This window comes from Homo sapiens, chromosome 5 (assembly GCF_000001405.40).
Source record: "Homo sapiens chromosome 5, GRCh38.p14 Primary Assembly".
Lineage (NCBI taxonomy): Eukaryota > Metazoa > Chordata > Mammalia > Primates > Hominidae > Homo > Homo sapiens.
Genome location: NC_000005.10, coordinates 160027782 through 160048381, shown reverse-complemented (window position 1 = coordinate 160048381; position 20600 = coordinate 160027782). Strand labels below are relative to the sequence as shown.

The 20600-nt window shown below is 40.1% G+C and overlaps 2 protein-coding genes across 3 annotated transcripts in view, besides 3 other annotated features; one reads left to right on the top strand and one right to left on the bottom strand.

The window, feature by feature from the left end:
* PWWP2A (PWWP domain containing 2A) overlaps positions 1-4066 on the top strand; it is a 75135-nt gene extending 71069 nt beyond the window's left edge. Inside the window, exon 4 of the mRNA XM_011534424.4 lies at positions 3123-4066. Coding sequence (XP_011532726.1) covers positions 3123-3179 — 57 coding nt within the window. The 3' untranslated portion in view covers positions 3180-4066. The remainder of the gene's footprint in view (positions 1-3122) is intronic.
* TTC1 (tetratricopeptide repeat domain 1) overlaps positions 1-20600 on the bottom strand; it is a 56405-nt gene that overhangs the window by 17162 nt on the left and 18643 nt on the right. For both annotated transcript variants that reach the window (NM_003314.3, NM_001282500.2), the window contains exons 3-5: positions 13182-13242; positions 11579-11691; positions 5213-5249 (exon numbers count right to left, since the gene is read on the bottom strand). In NM_003314.3, coding sequence (NP_003305.1) covers positions 5213-5249; positions 11579-11691; positions 13182-13242 — 211 coding nt within the window. The remainder of the gene's footprint in view (positions 1-5212; positions 5250-11578; positions 11692-13181; positions 13243-20600) is intronic.
* Positions 4396-5090: an enhancer, noted in NCBI's record as "NANOG-H3K27ac hESC enhancer chr5:159470299-159470993 (GRCh37/hg19 assembly coordinates)". NCBI's record gives its function as "activates a minimal SCP1, AML or CMV promoter by ChIP-STARR-seq in primed H9 embryonic stem cells {active_cell/tissue: H9 hESC(primed)}" and the evidence as "EXISTENCE:reporter gene assay evidence [ECO:0000049][PMID:30033119]".
* Positions 5091-5785: an enhancer, noted in NCBI's record as "NANOG-H3K27ac hESC enhancer chr5:159469604-159470298 (GRCh37/hg19 assembly coordinates)". NCBI's record gives its function as "activates a minimal SCP1, AML or CMV promoter by ChIP-STARR-seq in naive H9 embryonic stem cells {active_cell/tissue: H9 hESC(naive)}" and the evidence as "EXISTENCE:reporter gene assay evidence [ECO:0000049][PMID:30033119]".
* Positions 19694-19861: a silencer, noted in NCBI's record as "fragment chr5:159455528-159455695 (GRCh37/hg19 assembly coordinates)". NCBI's record gives its function as "represses an EF-1alpha promoter that drives an FKBP-Casp9 reporter gene in an ReSE screen in K562 erythroleukemia cells {active_cell/tissue: K562}" and the evidence as "EXISTENCE:reporter gene assay evidence [ECO:0000049][PMID:32094911]".

Here is a 20600-nt window from a genome sequence, read left to right as displayed (position 1 = left end):
GGACTTTGAGACCGTCAGCCTAGCCAACATGGCGAAACCCCATCACTACTAAAAATACAAAAATTAGCTGGGCGTGGCAGTGTGGGTCTATAATCCCAGCTATTTGGGTGGTTTAGGCATAAGAATCACTTGAACCCAGGAGGCGGAGGTTGCGTGCAGTGAGTGGCGATTGCATCACTGTACTCCAGCCCGGGCAACAGAGAGATAATACTCTGTCCCAAAAAAAAAAAAAAAAAAAAAAAAAAAAAAAAAAAAGCAATGTCTTGGCTCTAGAACTTTTTTCTTTTCTCATAATCTATCCTTAATTTTTAAATTCATGCTTTCTGTGAACATTTATTTAGTACTTAATATATACGTCCAATGTAGTATGTCTCTGGGCTATAGTGGGAAACAAGACAGACACAGTCCTTGTTCTCATGAAGCCTTATGCTATTCTAGTAGGCAAGAACAGACAGGTATATAATTTCAATAGCCATAGTACTATAATGAAAAATAAAACAAGGTCATGGAAATACAAGTGAAGCGAGAAATGAGGTAACTTCAGAAAGTGGTCTCAGAATATGAAGAGGGACTATGTGAGAGAGGCCAGCCATGTGAAAGGCTAAGGAGGAGCGTGCCAGGAAGAGGGACCAACAAGAATAACTCTGGCATGTGAGTTATCAGGCTGGGGATCAGAGGCTGAAATGTAGGGCCATGGAGGACCTTCCTGGCCAGGGAAAGGAGTTTGGACTTTTTCCTCAGTGTGATGAGAAGCCACTGGAAAGTTTTCAAGCAAGCTTCAGACATACTCTGATTTACATTTTTGAAGGACTGCTTTGGCTGTAGTGTTGGCGGGTGGGGCAAGACTGAAAGCTGTGAGATCAGCTGGAAAGCTAATGCAGTGGTCCAGATGAGAGAAGATGTTGGCTTGGTCTAAGCTGGAAGTAGTAGAGATGGAAAACAGCAGCCGGATTACATTAAATATGTCTTTAAATTTGAGCCCATGGAACTTGCTAATTAATCAATTAGCCATGTGACACGAAAGAACAATCAGGGATGACTCCAAAGGTTTAACTTAAGCAAGGGGACAGATGGTAATGTCATTTATTAGAATGGAAAAAACTAACTGCAAGTTTTGTGTGTGTGTGGGGGCTGGGCACGTTAAATCTGAGGTGCCTACCAGACATCCAAGAAGAAAGAACTTTGCAGTGGGATACAGGACACTAGACTACAGGGTAGAAGTCAGAGTTGAAGACAGAAACTCTGCCATACACATGGCATGTATTTATTAGTTTTATATTTTAAAATTCATGAATTTTGGCTTTTATCTTTATGAAAATACTCCTTTTGTTTCCCTTAATTGCATTTTTGTTGCTCCAATTTCTTTTTTTTAGACGGAATCTTGCTCTGTCACCCAGGCTGGAGTGTAATGGCGTGATCTCGGCTCACTGCAACCTCCACCTCCCAGGTTCAAGTGATTCTCCTGCCTCAGCCTCCTGAGTAGCTGGGATTACAGGCACGTGCCGCCATGCCCTGCTAATTTTTGTACTTTTAGTAGAGACAGGGTTTCACCATAATGATCAGGCTGGTCTCAAACTCCTGACCTCATGATCCACCAGCCTCAGCCTCCCAAAGTGTTGGGATTACAGGCGTGAGCCACTGTGCCCGGCCTGTTGCTCTAATTTCTTAGGTTAAAAAATCCGTGCATTTTCCTTCTGTCTTAATTTAACTTTTAAAATGACAAATAAAAATTGTGTATATTTATGGTATATAACATAAACATAAATATAACATAACATGTTTTGAAATATACACACAAGGTGGAATGGCTACATTGTGCTAATTTATAGATAGTATTTAAAGCTTCAGAACTGAATGAGATCACTTAGGGAGAAAATACAGAGGGGAAAAAAAAAGAAGAGGGTCCCACGCTCAACTAAGATCTAGAGACTTCCAAAATGTTGAAGTTGACATAAAAGCTAACAGAGGAGAATAAGAAGGAATAGCCAATGAAGCAGGGAAAAAATGAATAGAGTTCATTAAATTTAAGAGAGAGAATTTTAAAGGAGAAAGGAATGATAAACTGTATTAAATGCAGGTAAGGTCAAGTAAAGTTAGGCTAGAGAAGCAACGACTAAATTGAGCAAGATGAAACTGCTGATGACCTTTACAAGATGGGTTTCAATGGCATGGATAAAACAAATGCTCCATGGAAGTGAAGTAAGGAGAAAAATAGGATAAGACAAAGTAGAGACAGCCAAGTATAGACAATTATTTCAATGAAAGGGATCAGATAAATGGTACAGCAATTGAAGGAGAATATTGGGTCAGGAGAAGGTTTTCTGAAAGAACCCTAATCTTGAGCTGGGGGCAGTGGCTCATGCCTGTAATCTCAGCACTTTGGGAGGACGAGGCAGGCAGATCACGAGGTCAGGAGTTCGAGAGCAGCCTGGCCAATATGGTGAAACCCTGTCTCTACCAAAAATACAAAAATTAGCCGGGCATGGTGGCATGCGCCCGTAGTCCCAGCTATTCAGGAGGCTGAGGCAGAAGAGTCGCTTGAACCTGGGAGGCAGAGGTTGCAGTGAGCCAAGATGGCACCACTGCACTCCAGCCTAGGCAACAGAGCGAGTCTCTGTCCCAAAAAATAAAATAAAAAATAAAAAATAAAAAAAGTTAGCTGGGTGTGGTGGCGTGCACCTGTAGTCCCAGCTACTTAGGAGACTGAGGTGAGAATGAACTTAAACTTTATGTCAAGGATGAAAACCCTGGAGCTCCAATATGACCTCAGAAATAAGCTAAGTTCTTTGCCAAGGTTTATGAATTGAGAGATTGAGAGAGGGGAGGGGGAGAGAGAGAGAGAGAGAGAGAGAGAGAGAGAGTGTGTATGTGTGTGTGTGTGTGTGTGTGTGTGTGTGTGTGTGTGTGTGTGTGTGTGTGTGTGTGTGGAGGGTGGGGGATGTCGGGGGCTCTCAATACAAACAAACCATATTGATATAAATGTAATTTGCCTATGAATACAATGCATGTATCCATAATGACCATGTCTAACCACATAAATATTAGTTTAAGCAAATCCAAAAACAAATGCGGAAAACACTTTGGTTGGAAAACACTTTCTTCTCCTTTCCCTCATTTTCTAGGCAAGGCTCCTACACTTCGGGCTGCAGCTGGAAGTAAACTGTTTCATATGGAAATGAACTATTTCTTACAACATACCATGCTAATCACGCTTACAAGGCATTTTTTCACCATTTGGTTACAGAGAAAGAAGCTTTGAAAACCAGCAGCTTGTTCCTAATTTAAACTTCCCAAACCCACACATCCTCACATAAAGGAAATAGGTTAAATAACTTCTTCCAAACAAAACAGTACATTCAGAGTTAGTTCCAGTCCAACTTGGTAACACATCAGAAGTGGTCTTCTATATTATAATATAGAAAGAGTTTCATTCAGATACTATAAGGAAATACCAAATATAAAGAAAAGAAAGCCAGTAGAGAGGGCACCAAATTAATTAAATAAAAAATTAGAGTGTCAGAGGCATCTGAATCAAAGTGGCTCCATCTTGAATAGGGGCTGGGTAAAATAAGGCTGAGACCTACTGGGCTGCATTCCCAGGAGGTTAAGGCATTCTTAGTCACAGGATGAGACAGGAGGTTGGCACAAGATACAGGTCACAAAGACCCTGCTGACAGAACAGGATGCAGTAAAGAGGCTGGCCAAAGCCCACCAAAGCCAAGATGGCGATGGAAGTGACCTCTGGTCATCCTCACTGCTCCCTAAATGCAAATTATAATGCATTAACATGCTAAAAGACATCCCCACCAGCACCACAATAGTTTACAAATGCCATGGCAACATTCAGAAGTTACCCTATATATTCTAAAAAGGGGAGGGACCCTCAGTTCTGGGAAATCTCTGCCCCATTCTTGGAAATCTCATGAGTAATCCACCCCTTGCTTAGCATATAATTGAGAAATAACTGTAAGTATACTTTACTGAGCAGCCCACATTGCTGCTCTGCCTATGGAGTAGCCATTCTTTTGTTTCTTTATTTCTCTAATAAACTTGCTTTTTCACTTTATGGACTTGCCCTGAATTATTTCCTGTGAGAGGTCCAGGAATCCTCTCTTGGGGTCTGGATCAGGACCCCTTTTTGGTAACAGCAGGGGAATATATGCTTAGCGTGACAGGGGATCTAGATAACATATAAGGTTCTCTTGCACTCTATAATTGTCCCAGAAACTATTATCCAAAGAAGAAAAACTAAAAAAATAGAAAACACAAAAATAGTGATTTGCTAGAAAAACTTCTGAGACTAAGCCGCAAGAAAAAGTGATTATGTACATTCTTCACATGAAGTTGGTGAGAAAGGCAAGGCACCTGTCTGGCCTATCAGGCAATTTTTGAAAAACAAAACAAAACAACCCCAAAACACAAAAAAACTGTAGTGACCCTATGTCTGAGGTGTCCCTATAAAAGTTAGTGGGGTGATAAGACCTTAATAGAACTTAGATATCATATAGCAAAGGCTTGATTCATTGTGTAGAATCTGAAAGGGTTAAAAAAAAATGATGTGAAGTAGGTTTGGAAGAATTATGACACTTGAAAAGACTATCAATTCACCAACAGAAACTGTCCCTCATCACAGTTGTCCCCCTTCTCAAAACACACAGATCCAAATGCTCTAATAGCAGCTATGATCTTCACTTTGAATCTCAACAGAATGTAATTCAGAGACTACAGGAGGTAAATTCTATTCCATGAGTTCTGTTGCCAAGAGAGCACTGAAGTTTTCTTTTTTCTTTTGGAGACAGGGTCACTCTGTTACCCAGGCTGGAGTAAGTGGCATAATCACGGCTCACCACAGCCCCAACCTCCTGGGCTCAGGTGATCCACTTCAGCCTCCCGAGTAGCTGGGACTACAGGGGCATGCCACCACATATGCCTAACTTTCGTATTTTTGGTACAGACAGGGTTTTGTCATGTTGCCCAGGCTAGAGCACTGAATTTTTCTTCATGTATTTACCAGTAGAGGAGAAACTGATTGAACTATCCATTCAAAAGCAGTTACTCTATTATATAGTATCTTTGAAAATAATTATAAAGTTGCCTCTTGCAAGGCCCCAGAGGAAGGGTACACATGTACAAGTGCACACCTGACCCAAAGCCCCTCTGTCTGACATAATGCTCCTGTATGTTAACATGTAATAAGATAATAAAGCTGTACCTTTGCTGCAGTCATTGATGGCCATTTCTTTCTTGTCCTAAAAAGAAAAACAGTATTAATATGTGTTGCCCTAGTTTTATCTTAATGGCCCAAAGGCTTAATGACATGATCTGATCACTAATAACTGCTTATGGAGATACAGAATGGTTTTCAAAGAAATTACGTAAAAACCTGAATGTTACTTCCAAGACAAAACTCAAAATTAACACGGGGATGGGGATGGCTCTGATCTGAAGGCCTCCTGGTAACACTTATTCAAGTCGCTTTTTTCTGAAAGTGTCTTTTGTTCTAACTGACCTATTACATTTGCAAGACACTTTACATTAGAATGCTGACACTGAGAAACTTTGTGACCTAAAACAGGGCAAATGACTGACATGTGAATAACTGAATTACCCTCCTCTCTGGCTAGTGGTTATACTATCATACCCCAAAGTGGTATATTTCAGAAAGTATACAGATGCTCCACCTACAGACACACAGTGTGGCTTGTCATGTAGTCTCAGTTATAAACCTTAATTTATCCACTGATCAAACAAAAATACACAACTCTTAAACAAAATATCTAACTCAATTAGTTTCTGAATCTAGAAGCATGACATAGCGGAAAGAACACTGGATGTCAAAGAACTGAATTCTGGTCCTGGCTTTGACAATAACCTGCTCTTTAACATTGCCCATGCTATTTTCCTTCTCTAGGGCTCAGTTTGTCTCATCTAAAATAGGAGCGGGGTAGACTGGATGTTATATAAGATGTCTTGCAGGTCTAAAATGTCCATTTTCCTGAAATTAGGAATTTTTGTATTACAGAAATAAGGTATTTCAAATAAGTGTTCAATATTCTCACAATGCCTACTGTAGCAAATACTAAATATTTTGCAGAATATTTCACAGCAGTGACAGCCAAACTGTTTCAGGATTCAATCAAAAGCAGTTTCAGGGCTGGACGCAGCGGCTCATGCCTGTAATCCCAGCATTTTGGAGGACCAAGGTGGGCGGATCACTAGAGGTCAGGAGTTCGAGACCAGCCTGGCCAACATGGTGAAACCCTGTATCTGCTAAGAATACAAAAATTAGCCGGGTGTGGTGGTGGGTGCCTGTAGTCCCAGCTACTTGGGAGGCTGAGGCAGGAGAATTGCTTGAAACCAGGAGGTGGAGATTGCAGTAAGTTGAGTTCACGACACTGCACTCAAGCCTGGGCAACAGAGCAAGACTCCATCTCAGAAAATAAAAAAAAAGTTTCAGGAGTGTGGAGGATCCTTTTAGGATGATGGAAAAGTTCTGGAACTAGATAGTGGTGTTGGCTGTATAACACTGTGAAGGTATTTTAATCCACAGAATTGTATACAGTCATGCACTGTACAATGACGTTTCAATCAATGATAGACTGTGTATAAAACAGTAGTCCCATAGGAGTATAACGGAGCTGAAAAATTCCTATCACCTAATGACATAGTAGCCGTCATAACATCATGGCATAACCTACTACTCAGGTGTTGGTGTGATGCTGGGGTAAACAAACCTACTGCACTGCAAGTCATGTGAAAATATAACACAGGCCGGGCATGGTGGCTTATGCCTGTAATCTCAGCACTTTGGGAGGTCAAGGTGGGCGGATCACCTGAGGTCAGGAGTTCAAGACCAGCCTGGCTAACATGGTGAAACCCCATCTCTAGAAAAAATACAAAAAAATTAGCTGGGCATGGTGGCACACACCTGTAATCCCAGCTACCTAAGAGGCTGACGCAGGAGAATTGCTTGAAACCGGGAGGCAGAGGTTGCAGTGAGCTGAGACAGCGCCATTGTACTACAGCCTAGGCAACAGAGTAACTCTATCTCCAAAAAAAAAAAAAAAAGAAAGAAAGCATAATACATACATAATACTTGATAATAAATGGCTGTTATTGGTTTATGTATTTACTATACACTACTTTTTATTATGTTAAGAGTGTACTCCTTCTACTAAAAAAAAGTGTACTGTCAAACAGCCTCAGGCAGGTCCTATCGGAAGTATGGAAGTATTCCAGAACAGGGCATTTTTATCATAGGAGATGGAGATGACAGTTTCATGTATGTGTCGCTCTTGAGGACCTTCCAGTGGGACTAGATGTGGAGCTGGAAGACAGTGATACTGATGCTCCTGATCCTGTGTAGGCCTAGGCTACTGTGTGTATTTGCATCCTAGTTTTCAACAGAAAAGTTTAAAAAGTAAAAAAAAAAAAAATTATTTAATAGAAAAAAGTATATAGAATAAAGATATAGCTGGGCACAGTAGCTCACGCCTATAATTCCAGTGATTCGGGAGGCTAAAGCAGGAGGACCACTTGAGGCCAGGAGTTCAAGACTAATCTGTGAAACACAAGACCCCATTTCTAAAAAAATTAAAAAAAAAAAATTAAAAGAAAACCAAACAAAATTAGCTGGGAGTGGTAGTGCAGGTCTGTAGTCCCAGCTACCCAGCTGCTGGAGAGGCTGAGGTGGGAGGATCGCATGAGTCCAGGAGTTCAAGGCTGTAGTGAGCGATGACTGTGCCATTGCACTCCAGCCTGGGCAACAGAGCAAGACCCTGCCCCAGCTCAGAAGAGAAAAGGACATAAAGAAAATATTTTTGTAGTTGTACAACATGTTTATGTTTTAGGCTGTTATTATAAAAGAGTTTAAAAAAATTTAAAAGTTTATAAAGAAAACAAGGCACAGTAAACCAAGGTGAATTTATTAAAGAAAAATTAAAAAAATAAATTTAGTGAAGCCTAAATGTAAGATATTTATGAAGTCTACAGTAGTGTAATGTCCTAGGCCTTCACATTCACTCACCACTCACTCACTGACTCACCCAGAGCAATTTCCAGTCCTGCAAGATCCATTCATGGCATACACGGTATATGTATGTGTGTGTGTGTGTGTATACATATGTGTGTGTGTTTATGTATCTATATATATAGATGCACCATTTAAAAAATACTGCATTTTTACTGCACCTTTTCTTTTTAGATACACAAATACTTACCATTGTGTTCCAACTGCCTATAGTAATTCAGTGCAGAAACATGCTGTACAGGTTTGTAGCCCAGGAGCAATAGGTTATACCATATAGCTTAGGTGTGTAGTAGGCCATACCATCCAGATTTGTGTAAGTATACTCTATGATGTTTGCACAATGATGAAATCACCTAATAACACATTTCTCAGAATGTATACCCGTTGTTAAGTGACTCATGACTGTACTTTAAAATGGCCAACTTTATGTTATCTGTATTTTACCACAATAAACAAAACAAAAAAGGTTTCAGGGTCATCTGGGACCTTTTTTTATTTCTCTTTCAATGTTCAGCATACCAATTCAAATATCAAAAACTCTAAGAAGTCCTGTAAGTAATCTGTATAACTTTATATAAGTCAATATTTTTTCAACTTATCACATTTCTATAAGTCAAAGACACACAATTTCACAGTTTCTGAAATAGAAATAAATCTTTACAATTTATGTGTACAACTGTTGTGATGGTATTCTTTGTGTGCCTAGAAGTGATTATTAAGCTGTAGTGCATCTTATCCACTGTCTCCTCAAATCAAGGAATTATGGAATTTTATTGCAGAAACTTTTGTTTGAGGCTCATAGTCTACTAATACCTCAGAGGACCCAGGTGTTGTCTGCTGCTTACAATGGTAGTCCCCAAAGTGGAGTGTGTGGGAAAAAAAAAAAAATCACAACTTTACCATTCTTTCATAATTTTTATATATAGGTAGCTATCTATCTATATAAAACAGTATACATAATATATAGTGACAAAACAAATGTACACAGCATATAAGGACAAACAAATCTAACTATACATATAAAACAATGTATATAATATATAAGGACAGTAGTTAAAAAAAAAAAAAAAAAGAGAACCTACTCTTTTAGGGCTCTGCTCTTGTATAGCTAGCGAGACCTAGAGCTGAAACTCTGCCCTAGCTCCAGGTTACCTTTTCTCTCTCCAGATATGAAATGTGAAGCGTGGCCAGGGGCACTGAGTCAGGGATGCTGAGCTTGCAAACCTGCCTTTCAGAAATTCTTCATCTTTACCTCTTAAAGCAGTTAAACCATCATTTCCTTGAAAAACTTAGAATATAATATGCTCCTTAAATTGTGTCAGGGTACTAATCCTAGAAGTTATCAAGTCTCTCATTTTAGAGTCTTCATAAAGTATTAAAAATGCAACTTAAGGCCGGGGACGGCGGCTCACGCCTGTAATCCCAGCACTTTGGGAAGCTGAGGTGGGCGGATCACGAGGTCAGGAGTTTGAGACCAGCTTGACCAACATGGTGAAACTCTGTCTCTACTAAAAATACAAAAATTAGCCTGGCGTGGTGGCGCGCACTTGTAATCCCAGCTACTCAGGAGGCTGAGGCAGGAGAATCGCTTGAACACGGGAGGCGGAGGTTGCAGTGAGCCGAGATCACACCACTGCACTCCAGCCTAGGTGACAGAGTGAGACTCCGTCTCAAAAAAAAAAAAAAAAAAAAAGAAACGCAACTTAAAAGAACAGAAAACTTCACCAACAAAACTATTCTTTGAACAGGCAACAATCATAGAGCAACGCTCTTTTGAGTTCTCCTCAGATGTGACAGACAAAATACTAACAAGACCATACATTTTCCTAACTCAAGAACCAGACTATTTATGTGAGCCCAAACCTAGAAATATCAATAACTTGGGCAACTGTAGAAACAAAGAATCCCAAATCCCAGGAGCCAACTGGGTATGGTGCATTTCCTCTGATACTGAAGGCACATCCTTGATCCTATTTCACAATGACAATGTCCAGTCTAAAAATGTGGCAAAAGGGAGAAGCAAATCTAAAAGATCAGAATTTTCCAGGTAAGTGTAAAAACTGTTAGATGTTAATTCTGATTGCTGGTGGGACACATTAATGAATATTGTTTTAAATAAAGTTAAACCAATTGTTTTGTTTTCTCTAATACAAAATGTTGGTTTGTATACTATAAAATTATTTCTTCTCTCATGCCACATGAAATACTCCAAAAATACTCTGCTTTGAAGATTGAATCTTACACAAGTTCTGGTAAAAAAAAAAAACCGTAACCTTTCTGCATGTCCAAGCATTCAAGCACCCACCCCCGCAACCCTGCCCTGGGGCCTTTAAAAAAAACAACAACAACAAAAAAAACCTTGTCACCTAAAGTGACTGTGGTAGAGGCATTTGAGAATTTCAGACAGTATCAAAGAGATATCTGATCTAAACAAACAAATGAAAACACTGCCACTTCCAATCTTGAGCCAGCATCATGGTTGCTTAAAGGTATGTTAAATAACCTATCCTTTGTACTTTGGATGTAAGTAGCCATAGTTTAAAAAGTGGTATGGTTTAAAAAAAAAAAAAACCACTCTCATTTCAATCCAAGGATTATGAAGACTAAATCGGAAAATCAGACAAATCAGAAACAAATCTAACTTTTTTTTTGAGACAGAGTTTTGCTCTTGTCGCCCAGGCCAGAGTGCAGTGCACTGCAACCTCTGCCTCCAGGCTTCAGCGACTCTCCTGCCTCAGCTTCTTGAGTAGATGGGATTACAGGTGCCCACCACCATGCCTGGCTAATTTTTGTATTTTTAGTAGAGATGGGGTTTGACCATGTTGGCCAGGCTGGTCTCGAACTCCTGATCTCAGGTGATGTGCCCGCCTCGGCCACCCATAGTGCTGGGTTTACGGGTGTGAGCCACTGCATCTGGCCCAAATCTAACTTTTAATAAGGTCATGGTATAAAACAAATATATTTGTACTCTCACCTATTCCATACTCACCTTGTTATACTAGGTTCTCAGTCCTTTGGAAATACAAAATGTTTTCAAAGTTCCTTGACACCTATTTTGCATTTAAGGGTACCTTTTATCCCAGCTGTTGGAGATTTCTCCAAGTGTCCATACTTTGAACAGAAAAGTCAGAATCCTGGGAATAACCATCTTTAAAGATGCTTTAAAGCCCAGAGTTTTTACCAGTGTTTCCCTGTGCCTTTGCATGTTTATCTAGAATTCCAGAGGCCTAAAATAAGGATCTAGAGCTATTCTAGGACATGCACTGCTTGGCTCATTGCTTCATTAACCTGACCTAGTTTAGCAAAAAATTTGCCAGCCCTCCTTCCATGAAAGTATTCACTCAGCTACTTTAATGGGGAATGTTAACAGTAATCTGACTCAAGTTTTTCAAAAGATTTTCTATTCTCCCTGTGGCCTTTACATCAGGGAAATATATGGGCAGGAAAAGGGAGGCAGCAACCTCTATGCTAGTTTCTGGAGAGAAACTATGGTATGAAAAGACTGCAAGTCCATGTGCTTTTTAAAAAGAAAAGGTCACAGATACATACCTGTTTCATCCTTGCTGCAGCTCTATTTGAAAATAGAATCGACCTCTCCTTTTGGAAGCAGGATGGGCACATTTCGAGGGCTCGACTATAAGAACTTTCAGCTTCTATATAATCTGAGGATAAGAGAAAGGATGAATGGTCATTTTGATTTTATTCCTGATACTACTATATTCCACAGGATCTCAGAAGCACTGTTTTCCATTCATAGGATGAAGGTTTTGAGTTAAAAGATGGTAACAGTCTATTAAGTCTGGCGCAGTAAAAATCATTTCTTCTTTTCTTCTCTCTTTAAAGGAACAGTGCTTGCTTGTGCCAATCTCACAGGCTGTGCTTGGTGAACTGACAGCTGAACATGCTGTCAGTGACAAGCCCTCAATACTCAGGAGTCCTGGCATTCCCTCAATGTTCAGTTTTCATTTGGCTGGGCAATTCAGAAAGGAGTTTTCAAAGGAGGTTACAGAACTGGACAGAGGAAAGAGACTAAACTCTGGGATCCATGGCCTGAGATAAAGAAAAAAATTATACATATTTGTTTTCATTAAATCTGTTGTGCTTTCATACAGTCAACCTGGCTAAAACAGCATCCGTGAAATGTTTGAAGAGAGACATTTGATAGAGCTAAAAGGAACAATGTAAAAATCAATATTTAAATCAAGACCTTAAAAGAGAAAATGGTGAAAAAGAGAATTATGGTCAGGATACTAATAGAAAATTGCCTATGTACTCCTTTCTCAGGTTTGAAATATTTAATATTAACATACAAAAAATATGCTTCCAAAATTAGAAGTGTTTATTCTATTAGAAAACAGTATTAATGATTACTAAACCAAGATATAGGAAAAAAAAAAAAACCCTAAAATCTGAAATCAGGTAATAGGGTAACTTTTGGAAAACAATAAGAAAAAAATTAAAAACCTGAAAATAACTAGCGGAAAATGTTAACACTCCTAGATTTCTGAAGCATATACACTTTAAGATGTGACAGAAGACTTTTGCTCTAAGATCAAATAGTTACCCCAAATTATCAGAATGAACCCCACCAACTTATTTCTAAGCAAATGTAGAAAATGCAGAAGGACATGAAGAATCTCCCTACTTAAGGCATCCAAAGAAAATGGCACATGAAAGAGCAACCTTTCTGAAGCAGTTTGGAGAATTTAAAAAAAGAAAGAAAGAAAGAAAGAGCAACCAAAGGACAGGCAGCCCTAGGCCATACCAGAGCAGTCAGGCTGCTTTCACAGCCCCACAGCAAGTGAGGAGCGGCGACTCTGCTTTCACAGCAATGCAGCACATAACCTTTAATATTCCAGGTTAGTGTTTTCCAAAGCAAGAGCTCAAGAGTTTTACCCCTGATTCTAGACTAACAGATAGTGGATTACAGAAAGACTATGCATGTGCCAAGAGACAAATGGTAACTGGTCACCATCAGATGAATAATTTGGCCTGGTTAAAAACTCAAAATGCCAAGGTACTGGGAAGCAACACTGTATTGTGAAGTCTGGTTTTGGGGTTTCTTCAGATGTTCTTTGGGGTTTCTTCACAGACTCTACAACAGGATGAGGAGTCAAGATGACCAGATTATCAGTGCTGAAAGTCGTCTTACCTCCTTTCTTAAACTGTTCATTTCCCTCCTCCTTTAGTCTAGTGCTCTCTTCTCTTCTTTTCTGAAAGACATCAGAGAATTACATAATTTCTCACAATATTATTATAAGTGAACAAAAAGGTGAGCTTTCCTTATGCACAAGTCTATTTAATAGGCAACAGTCTGACTTTTGAGAACTGCATCAGTTTCACCAAAACCTTGTACAGTGATAGAGGAAAAAAAACACATGACCATCAGGCTAATTATCAATTGCATTCTTGATGTTTAAAACAAAAAATGTAGGTCTTCTTGGCATGTCCTTTGCTTTCTATGTTTCTATCTTTTGCAATGGAATGATAATTACAGTATCACTTAATTTCTACTTACTCAGAAATGAAACTAAATAACATACCCACTGGTGTGCATACCAGTGTAAATTCAAATTGTAGCTTCTAGTACTTACTAGTTATGTGGCCTCGGACAAGTTTCAGAATCTTTCTGAGCCTTAGTTTCTTCATTTCAAAAATGAAGCTTTAATAGTATTATGGACTACTGTTTAATGGATTAATGTCATAATATACATAAAGCTGCCCATACAGTGACTAGCAAATAAGGGCTCAATAAATAAGCTATTATTTTCTGTGAAATAAGTACTTTAATCCTTATAAGAACCCTTCATGGTTTGTGTCATGAAGGAGACACAGTATGCTAGGAGAGCACATTTGTGGGTACAAGCCAAGTCTGTAGGGTTAGGGCAGTATACTGTTAGCAGGTTAACATAGGAAAATGTGAAGAAACCTAAATAAATAAGTCTGTCTTTTCTTAGCTTATTCAAACAACTCAGAAACTCACATAGATGGCCAAAAACTCATCAAACACAAAGGCTGAGAGAATGTTATCCTGCAAAGCAAAGTAGACGCATGCTGAGTGTGTGCACTTTTTTGTGGAACATCTTAACAATATAACTGGCACAAGCCAAACCAGAAGAGTCTGTATGCCTGCCACCTTTTGACAGTGCTTTAAAACAAAAACAACAAAAAAACCCCAAAAACAGAAAATCTACCAAAGTCCCTTAAAAAAAAAAAAAAAAAAAAAGAGATAGGGTCTCACTATGTTGTCCAGGCTAGAGTGCAGTGTCTATTCACAGATGTGATCAACACACACTATAACCTTGAACTCTTGGACTCAAGTGATCCTTCTGCCTCAGCCTCCTGAGTAGATGGGACTATAGGTGCACACCACTGTGCTGGGCTCTTTCCTCCTTCTTGAAGCTTCTGATTAAGTAATTTCAAAGGGAGGAAATACAGTTAGCATTCTGATTAAGTAATTTCAAAGGGAGGAAATACAGTTAGCAGGGTATTTCATGCACAAGAGAAGCCTGGAACCTAAACAATTGGTCCTTTTAACATGAGGAACTGATATGATCTGTGTTCCTACCCAAATATCCCCACGGGTCAAGGGACGGACCCTGGATCATGGGGACGGTTCCCCCATGTTGTTCTCATGATAGTGAGTTCACTTTCATGAGAACTGATGGTTTTCAAGTGCCACACTTTAAAACCATCAGCTTTCTCTTCACTTTCCGCCATGATTGTTAAGTTTCCTGAGGCCTCTATAGCCATGTGGAACTGTGAGTCAATTCAACCTCTTTTGTTTATAAATCACCCACTCTCAGGCAATTCTTAATAGCAGTGTGAAAATGGATTAATACAGGAACCAAAATAAAAACATTCTTTCTCTGGAAAAGATTTGTCAATATGCTATTGATGAGACCGGGTATTTCCCAAATGTCTTATTATTACACTATGGATTAAACAGAGCACTTGATGAATCTCAGTGAGGAAACTAAAAGGTAAGTATAGAGTGAATCTAATTTTTATGGTACATACTATGTGCCAGACACACAGCAGGTACAAATAACAATTCATTTTAAGATATAACGTATCTGAGGGAAGGGCTATTCTAAAGGAATTCAGAAAAAAATAAAATATAAGAATATGGCCATATTTACCTAGTACTACCCATAAGAAAGATGCTTAGATTGTAATGATCTCTACTGTATTGATTAGGGTTACTGGATGCAAGCAAAAGACTATCTTAAGCAAAAAACTTTAGGGGGCAGGTTTACTGGCAAGGTATCAGTGCTCACAGAATCAGTGAGAGGCTTAACGAATAGGCTTAGAAAGCAGGTAGAACTTGGCTGGGCGTGGTGGCTCACGCCTGTAATCCCAGCACTTTGGGAGGCTGAGGCAGGCAGATCATGAGGTCAAGAGATTGAGACCATCCTGGCCGACATAGTGAAACCCTGTCTCTACTAAAAATACCCCCCCAAAAAAAAAAATTAGCTGGGTGTGGTGGCAGGCGCCTGTAGTCCCAGCTACTCAGGAGTCTGAGGCAGGAGAATCACTCGAACCTGGGAGGCGGAGGCTGGAGTGAGTCAAGGCCGCGCCACTGCACTCTAGCCTGGCGACAGAGTGAGACTCCGTCTCAAAAAAAAAAAAAAAAAAAAAAAAAAAAAAGAAAGCAGGTAGAACTCAAGGAGGCTCTGTTAAGAAGCAGAATGCATGTCTTTTAGTGAAAGACTTGCCAGGACAGGGCTGCAATGACAGCAAATCAACTCTAACCATTCCATTGTCTTTGCTTCACTCAATCTAGATTTAAGATCTTGGTCAGAAGCATCTAATATACCAAGCATCGATCACAAGCCTTGGTTATCAGAGGATGAAGTGAGAGACATGGGGTACTGCCACTCAACAAGATCACAACACAAGAGAATTCCTCCAAATAGGAAGGGGTGTTGGATGTTGGAGAGCCAAGACAACATAACAAATTCAGTTAACAGTTATTTAAGAAACAAATTCTTTAGAGAGGGGTTAAATCATCAAGTTACTAGATCTTAATGCCCACTCTTTAAGAGTTTTCAATTTCTTTAGCATTGACTGTAAATCTTAAGCTATTTTCTGATCTATAATCTTCTCTTCAGAGCCAACTCATTAGGAATATTCTATGAACACAGATGAATCAATCAGATTGCCGGATTAGGCTCTTGTGAAGTAAGCGTGTGTATGTGTGTTCATGTTTTAGGAGACCAATCATTCTTTGGGAAATTTATAACATCAAGTTCCCAATGGGCAAAACCACGTCTCAAGTATACAGAAAGGAATCAGTGCTACGGGCCGGCCTGAGCAGCCAGCTCGAGAAATACTTACCATGTCTTTATTTTTATTTTCAGAGACAAGGTCTCCTTCTGTTGCCCAGGCTGGAGTGCAGTGGCACCATAAGAGTTTACTGTAAACTTGAACTCCTGGACTCAAGCAATCCTTTTGAGTAGCGGGGACTATAAGCAAGCACCACTGCCCCTAGGTAATTTCTTTCTGTTTTTAGTAGAGATGGGGTCTTACTGTGTTGGCCAGGTTGGTCTTGAACTCCTGGGCTCAAGCAGTCTTCTCATCTCAGCCTCCTAGTGTGTTGGGATTATAGGTGTGAGCCAGTGTGCCCAGCCCTCATCTTGCCTTTATAACTTGAAGGACTGAAAGTTGAGGTAGCAAAGCGAAAGGCTCCAGAATGTAATTCTGAGGTTATTTTTTATTTATTTATTTATTTTTTTTGAGACAGAGTCTCACTCCATCACCCAGTCTGGAGTGCAGTGGCATGATCTTGGCTCACTGCAACCTCTGCCTCCCAGATTCAAGTGATTCTTGTGCCTCAGCCTCCCGAGTAGCTGTGTTTACAGGCATGCACCACCACACCTGGCTAATTTTTTGTATTTTTAGTAGAGATGGGGGTTTTGCCATGTTACCCAGGCTGGTCTTGAACTCCAGGCCTCAAGTGATTCACCTGCCTTGGCCTCCCAAAGTTCTGGGATTACAGGTGTGAGCTAAGGTCAATTATTCTAAGTGAGGCATCCTATTGTTTCAACGGATAAATCACAACCCAGTGGCCCACTGAGTAGTAAACATTGAAAAAGAACTGCTGCTTCCCTCTCCACAGATTGTGCAAATTAAGAGTAATGCAATTATCAGTATCATGCTGAACATCTCCTTGGAAACAGCTAAAAATAGCACTTTGAGGAGAAAGTTGAACTATTTCCCAGCTGTGCCGAGACTGAATTGATGATCCCAGTACAAAGACTGGAGTTTTTTTCTGCTGAATACATTCTTTCTCCAAAGGATGACAGGTATATAGTACAATATTATTGGAATCCAAGGATAGATATGATAGATAGTGTATAGGTCTTCCTTAGCGTGCTAGGTGCCAGGAGCATTCACACATATGTGAGCTGGCAGTGCTGATATTCTGCAGCACTATCAGAGGAAAGTCTTTCCAGGTTCTGTTCTATGAACAGAAGCTTCTAATGTGGTTAAAACCCTTACATACCTCCACAATGCCTTTTAACACATTCCAGAGAGGCCTCACAGGGAAACATCTGATCTTGAATTATACTTCCATAGAAATGGAAACCAAAGAAATTTTATAGGGCTGTTTACTCAGTACTTTCTTCTCCATCACTGAAAACTTAGGGGGAAACAGTGACATTATCCTGCATTGTAAATCATCACAGGAACTGCCAAGGAGAGCCCCAAACAGCCAATGCTCTTGATGAACGGAGTTTATTTCAACAGTTACTACCACAACTGTAAACTTCTCAACATGGTATTCAAAATTCATTACAACCTATACCAGTACAGCGCTTCACTGCTGAAAATCTGCTGTCACATACATCAGCTCATTTGTTTTTCAAGATAATTTTGAGAGGTGGGCATGGAGGTCTTGACTCATTTTACAGACGAGAAAAATCAAGATTCAGAAATCTCTTGTTCACACTACATCAAGCTTCTATTCCAACCTACTCAAGCTATGCAACACAAGTCCTCTCTGCTAGACAGTCTGATCTCACTATTGTCTCTCAGAGCTTACCATGCTTATCCCTCATTCCATTTGTTTGCTTATGTGTCCCCCATGTCCTTCCATGGAATAACTCTTCCATATCCTCCTCCTAATTCTCTAACACCAAATTTTCTGTAGTTTTCAAAGTCTAGTACAAACCACAGCTCCTCCCTGGGGCCACCTTTCAGTTCTTTTCCCACATTACCTTTCTTTGAATGCAGACTGTACATACTGCTTTTGATTTTGTAATTCAATTCTGCCTCACAGATTGTTTTAAATTATAAACACAATAAAAGCACTGCAAAAAATTTGGAGTGTTACTTAATGCTTAAATGGTTTCATGTGTTGTAGAGCGCTTTTTGGCCCTCAGACCTGGGCAGAAGAGGCTCCTGTCAAGGCCCTCCTCTCTGGTGGGCCCCACCCATATCCCATACGGCCCTTTTAAACTATGCTCCAGGTACTGAGTTCTCTAGGATTTCCAGTTCAAGCCTCCCTAGCCCACTTCCAGGATCTGCATGGGCATTTTACCTGGGTTTATTCTCCCAAGGGTGAACTTTGTTGCAGGTTTACATAATATTCCAGGTGTAGTATTCTGTACTTTGCCTACCTCCATATCTTTGTACTTTGTACTTTGTATTCTGTACTTTGCCATATCTCCAAGGAGTCCTAGATCAATTTTTACTTATTTATTTATTTATAGTCAGGGTCTCGCTTTACTACCCAGGCTAAAGAGATCATGGCTCACTGCAGCCTCAACCTCCTGGGCTCAAGCAATCCTCCCACCTCAGCTTCCCCAGTACCTAGGACCACAGGTGCACACCACCACGCCTAGCTATTTTTTTTTTTTTTTTTTGTAGAGATGGGGGGGTCTCACTATGTTGCCTAGGCTGGTCTTAAACTCCTGGGCTCAAGTGATCCTCCCACCAGAGCCTCCCAAGGTGCTGAGATTACAGGTATGAGCCACCCCATTCAGCCGAGTCCTGGATTCTTTTAGTGTGGAATAGTGTTTAGAAACAAAGATCTGGGTGTTAGTGTGTTCACTGTTACTAGGGTATTACTCCTTTTAGGCCCTTTCAGTGAAGAAACCCAGGAAATACATCTTAAACAAAATGAAACCCTTATGAGTCAAAAGAACACATACAAGTGAAATCCAACAACCCAGGATTCTTCCTCACATTCCTCCACAGTGAAAACTCTGGTTCTCAGAATAGCCACTTTACTAATTTGCTCTATCCTACAAGAAACAAGAGTTCCAAAATTACTATACAAATATCATTACCAACAATGAACCTACTATGTAAAGTTCAAGGTTTTGTTGCAGTCAAGAGTCTGTGTCCAAAGTTAATGGAATTATCTTTTCTATATAATCTATTCATGATTGTTATGTTAACTTGTTTCTGTTTATGGTCAATTTTAAGGCTTAGTTTTTTTCTCATCTTTTCTGATTTTTTGAAAATTAAAAAAATTATTTATACAGTTCAAAAATAGGTGGAATTTCTGATGTGGTGAAGTAAGGAGGTTGTCAAATCCTTTTCCCTAAAGCCAACCACAAAACTGGGCAGGCCAGGGGCAGTAGCTCACACCTGTAATCCCAGTACTTTGGGAGGTCGAGGTGGGCGAACTGGCTGAGTCAGGAGTTTAGACCATTCTGGGCAACATGGCGAAACCCTGTTTCTAGCAAAAAGCCAAAAAAATTAGCCATGTGTGGTGGTGCGCACCTGTGGTTTCAGCTACTCTGGAGGCTGAGGTGGGAGGATCGCTTGAGCCCAGGAAGTTGAGGCCATGATTGTGCCACTGCACTATAGCCTAGGTGACAGAGTGCGACCTTGCTTCAAAATAAAAATAAAAAGAATAAGTAAACTTGAAGTTGTATCGAAAGAAATTATCCAAGCCAAAGAATGAAAACAAAAAGACTGAAGAAAAATGAACAGGGCCCTCTTGACATGAATGGAAGACCCAGAAGAAGGGAAGAAAGAGAAGAACAGAACAAATATCTGAAGAAATAAAGGCTGATAACTTTTTTTTTTTTTTTTTTTGAGACGGAGTCTTGCTCTGTCGCCTATGCTGGAGTGCAGTGGTGTGATCTTGGCTCACTGCAAGCTCCGCCTCCCGGGTTCACGCCATTCTCCTGCCTCAGCCTCCCGAGTAGCTGGGACTACAGGCAACTGCCACCACACCAGGCCAATTTTTTGTACTTTTAGTAGAGACAGAGTTTCACAATGTTAGCCAGGATGGTCTCGATCTCCTGACCTCGTGATCCACTCGCCTCGGCCCCTCAAAGTGCTGGGATTAAAGGCATGAGCCACCGCGCCCGGCCAAGGCTGATAACTTTAAAATTTTGATGAAAAATGTTAATCTAAAGATCCAAGAAGCTCATCTCAGTGAACCTCAAGTAGAATAGAAGATCTACATCTGAAGACACCAGAGTATCAGAGTGGTGAGAGAAAAAGACAAAGAGAAAATGTGAAAGCCACAAGAGAAAAATGATAGAAGAGAACAAGACTATTAATTTCTGACTTCTCACCAGAACAGTGGAGGCCAGAAGGCAGTGTA